At 33.3% G+C, this 17,812-nt stretch overlaps 1 protein-coding gene across 14 annotated transcripts in view; it reads right to left on the bottom strand.

The window, feature by feature from the left end:
• BRINP3 (BMP/retinoic acid inducible neural specific 3) overlaps positions 1-17,812 on the bottom strand; it is a 380,207-nt gene that overhangs the window by 61,706 nt on the left and 300,689 nt on the right. For all 14 annotated transcript variants that reach the window (XM_017001129.2, NM_199051.3, XM_017001127.2 and 11 more), the window contains one exon: positions 1,305-1,527. In XM_017001129.2, coding sequence (XP_016856618.1) covers positions 1,305-1,527 — 223 coding nt within the window. The remainder of the gene's footprint in view (positions 1-1,304; positions 1,528-17,812) is intronic.

Here is a 17,812-nt window from a genome sequence, read left to right on the forward strand (position 1 = left end):
TGGTATATACCCAAGAAAATTGAAACATATGTCCACATAAAAAAGTGTACATGAATGTTTATAGAAGCATTATTCATAATAGCTTAGAAGTACAACAAGCCAAATCTTCATCAAGTGATGAACGAATAAACAATATGTGGTATACCCATACTACTGATGCTACAACATAGAAGAACCTGAAAGCAGTTTGCTAAGTGAAAGAAGCTAGTCACAAAAGGCCATATATTGTACGATCCCATTTACAGAAAATGTCCAAAATAGGCAAATCTATAGAGACAAATAGTAGATTAGACAAATTTATAGAGAGAAACAGCCTTGGACTGGGTGAAGGTTTATGAGGAGTGACTGCTAATTGGTAATCCATTCCTTTTTGAGGCAATGAAAATGACCTCACCTTAGATTATGATGGTTGCATAGTTTTTTTTTTATACTAGACACCAATAAATTGTAAAACCAACCAAACAAACAAAAACAATCCAATGTTTTCTTTTTAAATGGATGTTTAAAATTATGTACTAACCTTCAGGGTTTTTTTTCCAGCAAAAGAAATCTATAATCACAGAGTTCTCATCTTAATGATTTAAGCACCAAGTCAAAATTCAAACATTTTATGTAAGATATACTGATACAAATATATATTTCTTGTGATAGTGTCCTATATTTTCCCGTAGCTTTTTGTTTTCGAACTGACCTCAAATAGATAAATACAACTTTTTATTACACTTACTTGTCAGTACATCCTAAAGCAGGAAATTCAAACACTGCTTCCCCAAGTCAGTTCAGACACAAATAATTTAATTGTTGTCATCATTCCTATTAAATTTTAGAAGCTTTCATAGTAATTTTCAGAAGTTTTTGTAGAATTAGGTTTGTGGTTTTCTATACACTGGTTATAGAAAATACATCTTGAATTATTTTATTTGAAAATTATGTATTGAGGAATTTTAATTTCTCATCCTGTTTGTTTCCTAGGCTCACAATGTAACCATAGGGCTTTGTGCTTTTCTGCTCACTGTAATGCAATTATTAGTTGGCTACAACACATAATAAATTAGAATGATTTCTTCATTTTGATAAGAAAAGAAAAAAAGAAATAAGTGCTAGTATATATTTTTCTCATTGTACTATTACTTTGAGAAATAACTATAATTTATTATTTGAGACAATATATTGTTTTCAAATTATCTCTAATAGTATAAATTAGATCATGATTTGTATATTAACACACCTGCATTCAGAAAAATAAATAGAACTCACTTTTTCGGCAATAAACTTAATTGCTTACATTACCACAAATGTCTTACCTTTGTCTTGGCAGGCTGATGAGGGGTTGTTTATGACACCTCTTGCTAAGGCTAAAAAGCTTGTGTACAATTTTCTGCGCCTTTAGGAAAAGTTGTTTCATGCTGTTCTCCAGTTGTTCATAACGGCGCTGAAAATTAGAATCCATTGTCCACAAATGCATTATAGTAGATGTGTTGAGGAAATAATTCATAGGTAGCCTTTTCATAAATAACTTGAATTCATCTGAAAAATGTCAAAATTCAACACTTTAATTATGAAACAATTATTTTTTGTTTTTCACAAACACGTATGTCAATATTAAGAACAAATACATATACACATATATGTCAAATTAAGAACAAATAAATACAGTGCCTCATTTGTGAGTAGCAAATTAATAGAAGATGGGGTTTTTAGATGCTTTAGAATTATCTTCTTTGCTGTTCCCTTTAAAATAGAACTTTCATGAAAGAAGAAAACTAAAATAATTTGTGCTAAAGCAAATAGTTGAAGCAGAAAGTTTAAGTTTAACTTAATTTTTCTGTGTGCTTCTTTTAAACGTCTTTCAGTAAACTTTCTTCAATACATAATCATTAATCTGACTTTCATTTTTGGCAATGGTATTAATAATCCTTTGTATATTTAAAAACCTTTTCAGAAATTTTTATTAAATCAGAATAGAAAATATATAAAACCAAATAATTGTATCAGTTTTTAAAGAAAAACAAAAACCTTTTTAAATATAAAATTTTAGATTTTAAATATAAAATTATAATATTAAACTATGCACCCTAATTATAACCGATCTTATTTTTAACCCTCTTTGTAACTGACTATATTCTAATTTGTTATGACTAACCATTTAAAACATGAGTACATGCTAAAAAAATACTGAAAAGAATTTAAAGCTGAAATATTGGCTTTTGTTTTTGAGTCAATAATTGTGCTGTCTTTTCAACTGTCTCGTTTAACCAACATTAGGAATAAAAGTTGATGCTACACTAAAATAAATAATAATAAAGAAGAGCTAATAAATATCTGAACACAAAAGATAGTTGAAATAATTTTCTAAAGGTGGAAACAACTAGACGGTTAATCAACAAATATGAGCATATACAAAATGTATTATATACATACAATAGAATATTATTCAGCCATAACAATGAATAAAGTTCTGACACATGCTACAGCATAGACAGACCTTTAAGATATTACACTCAGTGAAATAAACCAGACACAAAAGGAAAAATATATTGTATGACTTCCCTTTAACGAAATATCAATGCTGGGAAATGCAACTTTTTAACAATTCACAGTGAATTATATTCATGAACATTGGGTTTATTTTTCCTAGATCAAATAAGTACAGAGTTCTGGCATCTTTACGGCATTGAAGGAATAGACTTTTATCTGAAAAAAGAAGGAAAACTAAGCAAGGTAACAGTACTTTTTACAGAAAAAAGAAAAGAGAAAACATTTTATAGGGCGTATCTGTCCAATATGCTTCAAACCATTTTTTAAGTAAGCAGAGTTTAAATAATAGATGCATTTTTTTTTTTTTTGAGATGGGGTTTTGCTCGTTATCCAGGCTAGAGTGCAAAGGTGCCATCTCGGTTCACTGCAACCTCCACATCCAAGCAATTCTCCTGCCTCAGCCTCCCGAGTAGCTGTGATTACAGTGCGTGCCACCAGGCCCAGCTACTTTTTTGTAATTTTTTAGCTGACCAACAAGGTGAAACCCCATCTCTGCCTCCCAAAGTGCTGGGATTACAGGAGTAGAGCCACTCTGCCTCGCCTATAATTCCAATTTGATCATATCCTATATTTTATTTGGTCCCATTTGTGTCTTTTGTTAAATTCCCTCTTTTGAATAAAGAGTTAATGCATGGAAATTGGAAAGCATTTCTTGGATTATTTACATAGCAGATGCCACTATCTTCAAAACTAATTACTCATTTCATTGTCATCTTTACTTGAATAGTTTTGAAAATCCTTTATTGTATTGTAGGCATACATAGTTTAATTATGTTCATTGTTTGTTATAATAGTATTGGGAAGGGATTTAAATTCATAAATTTTATTGAAGATAAGGAGTATCTTTAAATACATTTTAACTGAACTAAAGTGAGTATAACAATGTATGGCAGCTGAAAATTGCCAGTATGTAATTTCTAAGAAATAGGGTTTTAATATGACACTTGAATAATTACTTCATTATGAAATCATTAAGAGTCACCACTGTCACCCAAAACATTTACTGAACACCTGTTGTGCACAGTACATACAGATGTTTCAATCTATGACAACAAATATGAATAAACCTGTCTTTTTATTTAAAAAAATGACTAATGATGTGCAATATTTTCAGATGTTAAAACTAACATCTTCAGTATCTGAAATTCACTCTACTTAGAAGACCCCCGGAAATATTCCTGTGGATATCTTTTCTTTTATTGTTGGCAATTAGTAAAATTTATATTTATAGAATACAGAAATAAAATTTGAATGATGCATTAGTATTATAATATAAATCAACAATTTACATAACTACAGAAATAAAACACAATTGTTAGGGATGCCAGATAACATTTTATCTTATAGGAATTACCAAAGCTATGTAAAAAATAAAGTATTATTTGCTTTTAAAGTGGAAAATACACAACAGCCCTACTTTTGGGGATACATAAATAAGCCTGTAAAAGAAAACAAATCAATACCATGTAAAAATTACCCAGAAAAAGTTAATCTAAAATATTGGTAATTAGAGAGATTTTATTCTACAAATATCTCTGTGTTAAGTATGTATCAAGTGAGTACTTTTCATGGCATAATTTTGAGGACAATGGAGAAACAAAGTAACCAACTGCAAAAACAATAATAATGGGAATAAACATCATCTAAGCTGGCAGGAATTTATAGTCAGTCACAGTCTTCTTAAAACTTTTCACATGAAGCAAATAATAATACGTAGTGAAATGTATTATATTAATGAATTCTGTGGAAATAAATAGAATTAGACTGGGTGACAACTTTCTAATAAATTATAGATGAATAATGAGGCATGATGTTAACTCTCTGGACTACTACTACTTCTCCATTAAAAATTGAGTAATTTTGAAAATAGTTAAACAAGGTTTGTTGTGCCTTTATCCTTTTTCCGTCAATAGAAAATCTAGTTAACACTTGATAACCAATTAGCTAATTTTGAAACTAATAGCTATAAATATTAATTCAATTATTTATCCCAGTAATCCTTCATGCAGATTTTATTGGAGCAATTTTATATGCAAAACACAGGTAAGACTTGGTTTCATAACTCTGTTAGCAAAAAGTTTTATTAACACCACTATATTAAATTATCTTATGTATTTATGTCTTTGGCATTTATTTCCATGCTTTGCAATTGAATTAAACTGATGAGAGTGGGGAACTGAAAATTTTGGGGATGTTAAAGAATCAGACTCAGATACATACCCCCGATTGGAATTTTTGCCCTTACTAATAAACGTAAAAAAACTTTGACCAATGCAGTTAATTGTGTACTTTCAAATGTTCAGAACCTCTATTCAGAACTGCTTTAGAATATATTTTCAAAGATATTCTAAAGCATTCTAAGTTTTCTAGAGTTTTGAGGGTATATAATTTACTTCCTGAATTATGTAAAACATTAATCAGTTTTTCATTATTTGTAAGTAATTTCTTGAGTTATAAATCAACTAAAATAACTCAAAACAGAAGCTGCTGTCATTGGTAAGCAGGACTATGGATAGGGAGTATTGAAAGAGGAAACTTGTGCTTGCTTTTATGATTGTTATTAATTCATATTATTGTGCTAATTATATTACAATTTATATTAATATTGTGAATACATATAAAATATAAGCACAATACTACAGAATTATCAATACACCAAGTACATATCTTCTGTTTCAGACATTGATTTTTTATTTATTATTTTTTAGAGACAAGGTTTCACTCTATTGCCCAGGCTGAAGTAGGGTGGCATGATCATAGCTCATTGTAACCTTGAGCTCTTGGGCTCACGCAATTCTCCGGCCTCGTCCACTCCAGCAGGTAGGATTACATGCCTAGCTAATATTTTATCTTTTATCTCTTTTTTTTTTTGTAGACATGGGGTCTTACCATATTGTACAGGCTCAAGCAATCCTCCCATCTCATCGACCCAAAACGCTGGAGTTTCAGGTATGACCTACAGTGCCTGGCTTCAGACATTTAAATAAAATGACATTATTTAATTACTTGTTAACATGAGGTAAAACTCTACTGGCTCACATTTTATGTATGTGTTTTTTTAAATCAATGTATATATTGGTATAATTCAAGTATTTCAGTAGAAATGACAATGCAATATGGATAATAAATTTATTATGAAAGCATAGCAACAGTTTCAGTACAATGATAGAAAAATACATAATATCTAACGAAATACATAAAGGATGATCACAGGGCACATAAAATAAAAAGAGAAATAGAAAAAAACATATGTCTGATATATATATAAAGAATCCATGCAAACATTTGTTTTTACACACAAAAAATGATCATTTCTGATTTTATATTACCAATCCAATGACTTTAAATCCATTTCTTCTACTTATGTTTGTGAACATAGGATTTCTTGGAAAATAATAAGTGCTCATAACAAATTCTAGTAACACAATTTTTTTGTAAGCAATAAACTAAAAAAAAAAAGTATTACTTTCTCACACTAAATGCAAAACTTTGGGGCTTTCCATACATGAACACATAGCAAGTATGCTCTGTTTCATTGGCTGTTTTTTTTTTTTTTTTTTGTGTGTGTGTGTGTGTGTGTGTGTGTGTGTGTGTTTTGCTGTTGTTTAGTCTACAGTTGGTTTAGACGCAATACTAAGTACTAATTCCAAAGCTGACAAATAAATATGAAACTATGTTTTCAATGTTATTGCTCAACCAGAACACCCTCTAATAAAGCTATTTCTTGTTTCTTGAGAACCACATTTTCCTGGAATATGAGTTCCTTTGTCTTCTGATTTTCAGTGGCAAAAAAAAAAAAAATTCTAGCAAATAAGTTAATCAAAAACCTCGACACTACAGAAATACTAGCTTTAAGTCAGTAAGATACAAAATTGGCAAGATATGAAAGAAGTGGGAATGTGAGTGAGAAGAAAGACTCACGGCAAGAAAAGTTGAGACAGAGAAATTCCAGACAGTGTCCTGAATAGCAGAAAGTTACCAAGGGCTGAAATGGCACCTGCTCCTCCAGGGAGCACTACTAATACACAAATTTTGACCCTCGCTATAACCCTTAGTAGAACTGGTAGATTTTTTACTTTTGCTAACTTTTTTTCTCCTAACGGTTCTAAGGGACTATTTCAATGATTTGTATTGGTTTTGAAATTTCCCAATATCTACAGTAAATCACTGATATGACTTTGAGTAGCCACACATCAATGTAAGTCTATTCAAACCATTCTATAAGCCATGGGTATAGAGTTTATACGGAAACTGACAAAATACTATAATGCTGCATAAAGTAAATGGCAAGCCTGTTCAATAGCTTGTGAACTGGACAATTTTATGAGGCTACAAAGTGATGGGTACATAAGGGTATAAATCAGAAACAGATTCTAATTCCTTAGTAGCTGCCAGAAATAAGGTATGCTGTTTCTCACTATTTTATTTTTCTCTGAAAGATGCATCATGTTTTATATTAAAGCATTTCAATACATCAAGCCAATTAATCTGTCCCTCACTGGGTTGCCCTGTTTATGACCCCATTCATCTGTTTGAGAAATTACTCAAATACAGCCTTATCTCTTAGAAGCTGGAAAACCCAGGTCCTCACTCTCCCAGTGTCCTTGCAACTACGGAGGGATTGGGTGTATCATTTAAACTAGAAGAAACAGGTGTACCACCCAGATTTTGATCTTAAGTTGTTAATGCAAAGACAAAGAGAGTGCCTAGAGAAATTTTCTCAGGAGATAATGTTTGCAGCAGTAATGGTAATGGTTAGTTGGTTAGTTCCATATGGTGTTGTTCATTGCAGTTAGCAGTGTTGACCTCACTAAATACGTCTTATGCATTTCTTTTTTTTAAGATGGGGTCTCACTCTATCACTCAGGCTGGAGTCCAGTGGGATGATTTCTGCTCACTACAACCTCCACCCCCAGGGTTCAAGCGACTCTCGTCCCTCAGCCTCCCAAGTAGCTGGGATTACAGGCGCATACCACTACTTCCGGCTAGTTTTTTATATTTTTAGTAGAGACGGGGATTCACCATGTTGGCCAGGCTGGACTTGAACTCCTGACCTCGGGTGATCTGCCCGCCTCAGCCTCCCAAAGTGTTGGGATTACATGCGTGAGACATCGCGCCGGGCCTATGAAATTTTTTTTTACTGTTTCCTGTGTAGCACATGAGTAGGTTTCCCTACTTTTCTTGGCGATTTGATGTGCCATCCAGAATCCCTTTATCCGATTTTGGATTTTGGTTGTGTCATCCAAAATCCCTGAATTTATCCGATTAAGTGAGCTAGAGCCTGTTTGTCTTATTTACATCAAAGAATCTGGGCTTATACAGGTACAGATACCAGAAGTGGTTTGGTAAAAGCTTCCAAAGAAAATTGAGAGCATATGTGGTTTGTTTCCTACTGGCTGGGACAAAAAGCTTTATAAACCTACACAGCATTAAGGGTAGAATTTTGACATTAGAAATTCCACCTCTGCCCACCTAGAATGAAGTGTGTGTTGCAGAAATGGCATTTGGACCTATATGCCTGCATATAATTGAATGAAGAGCATGAAAAATTCAAAGACTGTGGGTGAGTTTACTACTAATAGAGATGGTTTGCTTAAAGTGCCCCAATTCCTACCCATTCAAAGTACAGAATGAATGTGAGACTTTCAAAGCCTGTGCTAAATAAATCTTTCACCTCTTGCAGCTGTAGGGCTTCAAAACAAGCTTTGACCCCAGGATTGAATTTAAATTCCTTTCAGATCTGTTATGTTAAAGTTACAAAGAACCGTGATTGGAGAGGCATGGGAACCTCGGAACTGAAGGGTAGATATGTAGGATGACTGGAATTGATTTAAAATAATCTAAAGCATAAACTTTTGCTTTCCCACCCCTGTGAAGCCAATTCTTATGCCCATTATGCCCCAGGGGAGCTTATTAAAAATATTCAAAGGGAAGGATAATTTTCCAACAGACTACCAAGAATTTGCTCATTTTTTATTGGAGGAAAAAGCATTAAATGCATGGGTAAAAGGAATGCTAGTATCTCCGAGTGCTGTATTGGCATTTGTCTATAGGATAGGGACATCAGAGTGAAAATCGGTGTGAAATCAGTTCAGCTCTGACTTCAATGAATATATAATTACCCTCTGTACTGAGGCCCAGTAGCAACTATTAGCCATCAGAGTCACAGTGAACATAGGTATTGTAATACACAGATAGTTCAATGTGCTACTTAGAAATGTTTAACCTGTAGAAATTTTAGAGTTTACTAATCAGATCATGCGCATTGACAAATACATGACCAGTGCCTTGAGGTCCTATTTAATTTGTATATATATATATATATAAAAAGCAAGACATAGGTCTGGCAACAAAGGCCTGGTTTGAGTCATCATGAGAAGAAAGTTGTCTTATCAAATTCTCAGCCCTGAATCATTCCTGAATCATTTCAAAGACCACATCTCTTGTATCACAGGTTAGTAAGTATGGCAAATATTCAACTCGAATGGTGAGTGATAATTTCTGGGGCCCTGGTATGCTACAATATTCTGGAAATCAGAGTGTGGTCTTATAAAAATCCGGTAATAAATTCAATTTCTCCTATATGCTCTTCACATTAGGCCAATAAAGACTGTAACCCATAAGATGTTTAGTTTCCAATTACTTGAGTAAAAAATTGTAATGGAAGAACATTGACTTCATAAGCTATTATGGAGTAAGATCAATTAAGACAAAAATACAAAGTGAAGCTTCCTGTTTCTGCTTAAAGTATAAATCTAGAGTTACATTGCTTGTTTTTCATGTTTGACACAATTCCAGGAATTTGGGATGCATGCAGTACTTGAAAATTGTGAAGAGAGTATTCATATTCCATCTCCAATTAACTCAAAATGTTGGCTAAAGCTTCAACATAGAGTCATTCTAATTAAAACTGCTATTCCTGATGTGGTAGCTTTACCATTGGCATGATTCTTGGCACTGGGGATAATGCTTCCTCTCTGGCATAAATTGTTTTCTCTATAACTGTAAACAGAGAATATCAGGCACAATTTTTCTTTCATATGTCAGTTACAAGAGTTAAAGATTCTCATTGTATTCTGGGTTTAAGTAATTTCTCAGCATCTGTGCTACAATTTATTTTACAAGGACGTAGATCATCTCACTGTGCCACAGGACATATTTTGTTAATGACATACTCTGAAAAATATGAAATGTGAAATATGTAAAAAAACACGACTAGCAGGTATTCTAGCTTCTGGCCTATACCTTAAGTATGCATGAGGACTGAAAATAAACGTTATTTATATTGAGAGTCTGGTGATTCTGTGCACATTTGGATATCCTCTTCAAAATGAAGAACAAGTAACTGCTTCTTCATATCCCCTTAATAAGAAAGATGTACAAATCTTGGAAGTTGCATAAAATGCTTTCTCTGGTGACATTACTGATAATGATGACTTCAGTGATCTGTATTGGTGTGGCAGATGTGCCAGCTGCAATGCTTTTGCTCCTTGATGCCCTCAAGAGATTACTTCTGCTATTGTGATTTGAGGCTTGTTTCTGGCATAGCATCTGAGCCAGCATCTCCAATCCTTTTGTTGATTCTGTGAACTATCCAATCCGATGTCTTTAAATAAATTCCTTTCTGCTGCAATCAGATGCTGTTCTTACAAGAATGCTGACTGATACAGCTAACTGAGGCCTCAAGGGCAATTATAATTTGTAGTTCAACAAGATTTTAACAAATATTTGTTGAATGTCTACTGTGTACCAATCACTGTGCTACTTGAGTGTTAAAACCACAGTAATAATAATTATTACTGTTATAATAATGACAACTTTATCAGGAATTCTGTGTTGATGAAATTATATAATTACTATGAAAACAATAAAATGTCTTTTATATAATTAGTCATAAATAACTGTTAGTTATTATTTTTCTTTTATAATTTATTTAGTGTTTCCATATGTGCTGTGCTCAGCACTTTACATGGATTAGCCCGTTTAATCCTTACAGCAGTCCTAGGAGGTGGGTCCCATTATAATCTACATTTTGCTGATGAGAAAATTTCCCTAAGCAAGTTTCAGCAAGCTGTTCAAAGTGACACAGTTATTAATTAAAGCCCAGAACAAACGAAGTCTGAAAAAAGTAAGGCTCCTGCCTTAATAAATATAAATTTTTGTAGAGTTGACAGGAAAATAAAATTATTATTCCCTACACTTAAAGAGTGCTTTTGTTTGGTAGACTTTTCATAAATATTATCATATTCAATCTCATAATAACCATGAGGTAGGACAGTCTGGTTTTGTTGAGATGTGGTGTGAAATGAATTTGAATTATAGGATTATTGACAGACCAACCTATGAGAGAAAAAAAATAGGAAAATAATAGACCTGAGGAAATATAAAAGGAAAGAATTTTATATTTCTCTGAGGGTGAGAACAATGTTTTATTTTTCTTTGTATTTTCCCTTTCCAAAGCCCTAAGACAGCATATTACATATACTATGAATTAAGTATATATTTCTTAAATGTCGTAACCAATTAACAAGTTCCAGAAGGAAATGATTGAACCTAAATATAAACATCTACAGACTAGTTCATGTGGAAAAGCAGTTAGAGCTTAGTCATATAAAACGTGAAGCCATTTTTTTATATCTTATGACCACGAATGACTCAAGTGGGTAAAAAACAGTTGAAATAACATATGTTTTACAATTCTAAGACTTAATACTAATATGAATAAAGAGAAGTCAGGTTGAAAGCAAAACTGCAAGATAAAAATGTAGATACATTTCTTAACTTATGGATGAGAAAATGGCAAATGAAATTTAGGTGGAAAAATTATAATGTGTGTAAATTGCAGCTTGATGACTTACTAGTCAAAATATCCTGCAATAACCTGTGATCATTAGTTATAAGCAAAATTAGTAGTACATATTCATGGCTACATTAGTAAAATTTACATTCAGTACCTTTTAAGTCTTAAGCATTTTTATAGGCCCTTAACACTCTTAACTCTCTATCTTAGTTATTGCTGTAATGTCTGCTGCACTGAAACAATAACCATGACTTAGATATGTTGAGTAAATTTTTCCAAGTGTGATGCCTGCTATGTAATGCCTGGAGAAAAGTTGCTGAACACACAAGCAATATTTGCCTATGAGACTGAAACTCAATTGAAGCCATGTACCCACTGGCAGATGAGGAATCCAGAGCTAAAGTGAAGGTGGTGAGAGATAATCTCAGAGGAGGGATTTTTACCCTGGCCTAAGCGGTCAGTGTGGTTGACGAGATGCCACCCATAGTTCCCTGTTTCTTTATTGGACATAAAGAAATCAGCATACATGCACAAGCATATTGCTGTTTTTGATTGTTTGGTTGCTTGTTTACTTGTACTAACTAGCCAACAGTATGTTGATCAACATCTAATGGAGAGAGAATTGGTGGAAAACACTTCACACCCTTTAAAGAGCAAGTAATAATACCTTCAAGGAAAAATACCCTTTCTTTTAAACAGGAAACACTTGCTTGCCACTACTCTCCTCTTGTAGGCCAATTGTTAATTTTTGCATTAGTTTTTATTCCTTTTCACCAGTCAATGTAAATGGAGGCCAAATAAGTTTAGTGATTTCCTTATGAATAAAGATCTACAGAAAAGTTGAATTAGTACTTAAATTAAGAAATTTCATCCATAATTTGTCTTTCATATTATGTTGCTACTGAAGTGTTACATATATTAAATGAAAATGTATAATAATTATTAAAATAACACTAATTCACATATTATTTAACTATTAGGAAAGTTAAGAACAAGCATAAAATATATTATACACTAGCCACATTGAGTATCTCTACACATAACTAGGAAGAATGGGAAACCTGTCAGTTATTTTGCTCTATGACATTCAGCTGTAATCTGATTTTTAAAAATGTTGTCTTCTTGCCACACACAGTGGCTTACGCCAGTAATCCCAACACTTTGGGAGGCCAAGGCAGGAGAATTGCTTGACACCAGAAGTTTGAGACCAGCCGGCGAAGCATAGTAAGACCCCAACTCTATAATTTTTTTTTTTTTTAATTAGCCAGTTGTGGCTGTAGTCCCAACTACTCAGGAGGCTGAGGTGAGAGAATCGCCTATCCCTAGGAGTTCGAGTTTACAGTGAGCTATGATTGCACCACTGCACTCCAACTTGGTGACAGAGCAAGATCTTATATCAAAAATAAATTTAAAAAGGTCTTTCTTTCTTGCAGTAGTTTTACATATAGTGGAACTGCCTACTAGATGAAAAATAAAAACAATGTGATTAAATTTTTAATAAGTTAATATCAGTGATTTGGGTGACAAATAAATGCCTAACTCCTTATATATGAGTTAAATTTTCCCTCAAATATTTAAATATTGGCTTTTATGTACATAAGAGCTATTATACTCTTTATTTTTATCATGTTATGTTTATAAATTATTTACCATATTTCTTAGTTGTTGAAGACATTTTTCCTCCGGATTGAATTAACCAAATGTGCTATGTGTTATACTCTCCCATACATTTTTCATAATGTTACTTAAATTTGTCAGAAAATGGACTTTATTGAATAAAAACTACATGTGATGCTGCTAATTGGTCATGTTTAGTTTATTGATTCCCAAATTAAAACATCTCAGATTGTGGCATTAATAATTTACAGATAATTGGTAGCTGTGCTAACTTGTTTATTATGAACTTGGCACCATTGTCATTAGTCTGAAGCTGGTACATTTCTCCCCAAACCCTCCTCCTTGGGAAATTCCAGTTTAGACTTTATCAGTGACAGAAAGTCATGTGGGACGTGGAAGGCTGACAGGAAGTGGAAGCCATCATCCTCAGAAGTTTATGATAACTGAACATACGACAATCGAACATAGCCTTTCCCAAAATGCAGTGATATGGTGGCTCCCACGAACAGATACAGCAGCTTCCATAGAAATGGCAGCATTCCCAGAAATAGCAGCTTCCAAATACCTCCCCAAGGTTTCAACTTCACAATGGCCAGATGCATGCAACCTCTCGGACCTGTCTGCAAACTAAGCTTTCTATTCATGACAGGGCTTTGAGATTAAGTGGATTAAGAATGTTTCTTCAGTTCTCTTTCTACCTTCTTCCTTTCCTTCATCTTCTCTACATCTTCATGTGAGCACTAATTCCCATTTAAAATCCCTTGTTTCTATCATACTTTTGGTTATTTTATTTTCCTGTTTAAAAACAGATGAACAAATCAAGTAATGCAGCTGCGGCTAGTTTTCTATTACACACATTCTTCACTCATTACAACCGGAACACTGATTCTGTTGTGGATAGCAATGGATCCAGATATAAAACTACTTGCAGCATCTGGTGTATACATAGCAACCATCTGGCCAATGAGACAAAAGCAAGAATCTGTACGTGGGGGAAGGGATATATTCATGGCTAATGTTTTCAGTTTATGATTTAGATCTTGTCCTTATTCCTTATTGAGCTTTCCTGTGTCCTTTGGAGTAAAATGCAGACCCAAAGCTGGAGCAGCCACACTGTAACCATGAGGAAAAAGTCAAGAGAAAGGGAGATACATTGGTCTTCATCTCCTCACGCCCTTGAAGCAGCACTGGCACTACCACTTCATTGCTGTTATATGCAGATAGTTGTCATTGAAAATGAGAAATAAAGAGCAAGAATGGAAGTCTTTAAAGCAATAATTCCTAAATTGCTTATCTCAAGAACCCTTTACATTCTTAGAAATTATTGAAGACTCCAAAGAGCTTTTGTTTGTGAAGATATTTTGTAAGCATGTATGATATTAAATACGTATTTATTAATGTAAACCATTTCATATAAGTAACATATTTTATGAATGAAATACACATAAATAACACATTTTTATGAATATAACTATTTTCCCCCCAATTTTTTGTGAGATTAGCATTGTTTCAAATTTTGCAAACCTCTTCAGTGTCTGGAATAAAAGAAAACATCTGGCTTCTCATATCTGCTTCTGTATTCAATTTTCCACAGTATTACACACCATGTAGATTCTAGACCTGTCCTCTGTACACTTGTTAGAGAATAAAAGTAAAAATTGGAGGAAACAACATATCTATTTTATTATAATAAGAGGCTTGATCTTGTGGACTTCCTCAAAGTATCTCAGGGACCAGCAGATTTCTCCTGATACACTTTGAGAAGTACGGCTGCAAAGAATAACAAAATAATCACTTTTCATGCTTGTAAGTCACTTTATAATTTACATGTTACTTCAGTTAAAATCCTCATCAGTCCTATGAAGTAAATAAGAGTAGCTCTGCTCTATTGACTCCCTTTTATTGTCAAGGGAACTTAGCTTCAAAGTGATAACATTTTCTCCAACATCTAAGTTGGTACCTACTCTGCCTCGTCATTAATGTGTCTTATTTTCCACTATGTAGTTATTCTCTGTGGAAAGTAATATTGAAAGGATGGATAGAAAAAATATAAAACTGAAAAATGTAGTTCTTCTGAGTATATAGATCCATACGTATATATACACACATATACATGTACACACATACACACATGTACATTGGATTATAAACACATAAATATGATATATATATGAGATATTGTATACATTAGCCTGTCTATATGTATAAACGGCAAAACTCGAAGTTTACATATTTTGTTTAGAATGTAATAATATGTAGCTAATTTTAAAAATACCTGTGTAGTTTTATATATAATAGCATTGAAATAATATAATAAAATGCAGCACCAATTTCATAGTATTTATAGTATGCTACCTAATCAAAGAAAAAGGAATTTGTGATATTCCTAAGAGTTTAATATGTAATGTTTCATTTTTCAAACCACCTAACATAATAAAGAGAAAATCATATGTTAGTTCATATTTAACAGCTGTAGATCCTCCCAATAATCTTGCTTTTTTCTACAGATTGTCTTGGAATTTCATGAGGCAGAGAAACAAAACTTTGACAGTTATCATGTGATTTTTCCCCTGAAATATGCCACCACATATTAAAATTGAGGAATCATATTTATCCTATCTGCTGTAGAGGTGAGCTTCTCTGACCATAGCTCTGAAAATCACCATTACTATCCTTTGTGAAGAACCCTGAGAGCCAGTCATAAAAGATATAAATGATACTGCATGGCCTGAGAGCCCGATGCTTTGCAGACTCCTGGCATTGTGTATAAGAAAAGTGTTCCAATAATAAAATCATGGCAATATTACTCCTTTCTCACAACAATATTTTTAGTAGTAATCTAGGCAATAAATGTAATAGCAGGTCTAACACCACTGGCAATATTAAATTGAAATAGCAAATTGCAAAGCGAGTGAAATTGTTATCAGAGGGATTGATCTAGAGTAGAACCAATATTTTTAGCTTCCAAATAAATGTTCAGTAAAATAATACTTCACTATTGTGCAAACATTATAATAGCGATTTACCAAAAATATATTACTTTAAAAAAGTCATATTCTTTCATAGACTGGGGCACAATAAAAAGAACGAAAATGAAAATACAGTTATTTTTACATTCCAATGAGTTTTAGTAGTTCACAATATATTACTTAACTCATCCTAAAAACTAGACTCTCAATTTCCAGGAATGTTGTGTTTATTTATATTGGAGCCCATACAAACGTTAGACCTTAGCCAGAAATGCTGCTGCTTCTCTGTACAAGCATAAACAGTCAATAGGTTTGGAAATGATTCTTAATATATTAAAAACTAAAACTTTATGTTACTGTATATTAAAAAAGAATTAATTACTATATAGGTTTTACTCCTTATAGGACATGAAAAGCATAACAAACAGAAATCTGTCTCCTATCTATCTATGTATCACCTATCTATCTATCGTATATCAACATCTGTCACATTTCTTGTGACTTTCAGGAGATGCTACATTTTGCTGCAGTAACAAAACACCCCTTAGGTGATTAAAACAATTTATTTCTTTCTCACATCACATGCCTTAGTGGATCAGTGTTGAGCTCTGCAGGATCTTGAATCATGGAGGCTCTATATTCTAACTTCATGCCCTGGAACATAAGGCCCTCCTGGTTTTCACAGCTTGGGAAGAGACAGTAACATGTGTTTTTGTTTTGTTTTGTTTTACTGCCTCAGCCTGTAAATGATGCCCTTTACTTGTATTCACCCTTTATTTTTCAGAACTTAACACGTTGCACCATATAACAACAAGAAAGCTAGAAAACAATAAAAGAGTATAATACTTTGTAGGCATTCTGTTTCACCATGATGATATCAAATATTCCTTTCCTCTCATTGTTGCACATAAAGAACATACTCCACACTTCCCTAGGAAAGATGACCCAACTGTACCATAACTGTATCAACTGCAAAGGCCAAGTTTGTTGAGAGATGTGGGCTAGTATGTTAATCAATTTCAGTTATGGCTCCCATTGGTCTGCAAGTTGATTAGAATACAAAGTTTAAAAGATGAGTTATTTGCCTCCAATACCAATATTAATGTTGGAGGAATAGAATAACCACAACAAACATAACCCTTTGTAAAGGACACAAATGGGAGATACGAAGTCACTATTAGTAGCCATCCTGAAACCCTATGTGACAGGTACATGAAAAGTACCTTGGAAGTGGATTTAACCAAAATTTGTAATTAATTTAACAGTCAAAAACACTTGGAAGTAGTTTTACTTTCTGGGAGGTTCTTTTTAATCATGGCCCTTTACTAATAACCCCACTTCCAGTTATTTTGCAGATATAGTTCCTGGATCTGCTACATTTCTTTACCTTTTTTTCATCTCTGCTTCTCTTAAACCTGAAGGGACGGGCTACGTTAAAGCTGTCAAGGTTTTAAATGAAGACCACACCCTTATTGTGATCCTTTGCAGAACATGTGTCCCTTAGGCTTTCTCATTCTTACTTTTGCTGCTTGGGGTCAAGAAGCAGTTAGCTCTTTTAACTCTGGAGAAATGAAATCTCTGACTTTGTTTCATGTACCAAAGAGAGCTCATCTGCTTCTTTTAACACATGGCCAAACACAGCCATTAGTCATCAACCCAAAACACAAAGGCTTTGCTTCTTAACCTCTTTCTATGGAGCTAAAATTGCATGGGGCAAATGGCCTCCCTTGCAAGTAATTGCAGATGACTGTATTACCACAGGATAACATGAGCTGACATATTTTTTTGCTACATCTCCAATTGACTACTAGGCCAAAATCTTCATGGTTTTGTTTGTTGGTTTGTCATGGAAGCACCCACTTCTTTTTTTTTTTTTTTTTTTTTTTTT

The sequence above is a fragment of the Homo sapiens genome, chromosome 1 (assembly GCF_000001405.40).
Source record: "Homo sapiens chromosome 1, GRCh38.p14 Primary Assembly".
Classification (NCBI taxonomy): Eukaryota; Metazoa; Chordata; class Mammalia; order Primates; family Hominidae; genus Homo; species Homo sapiens.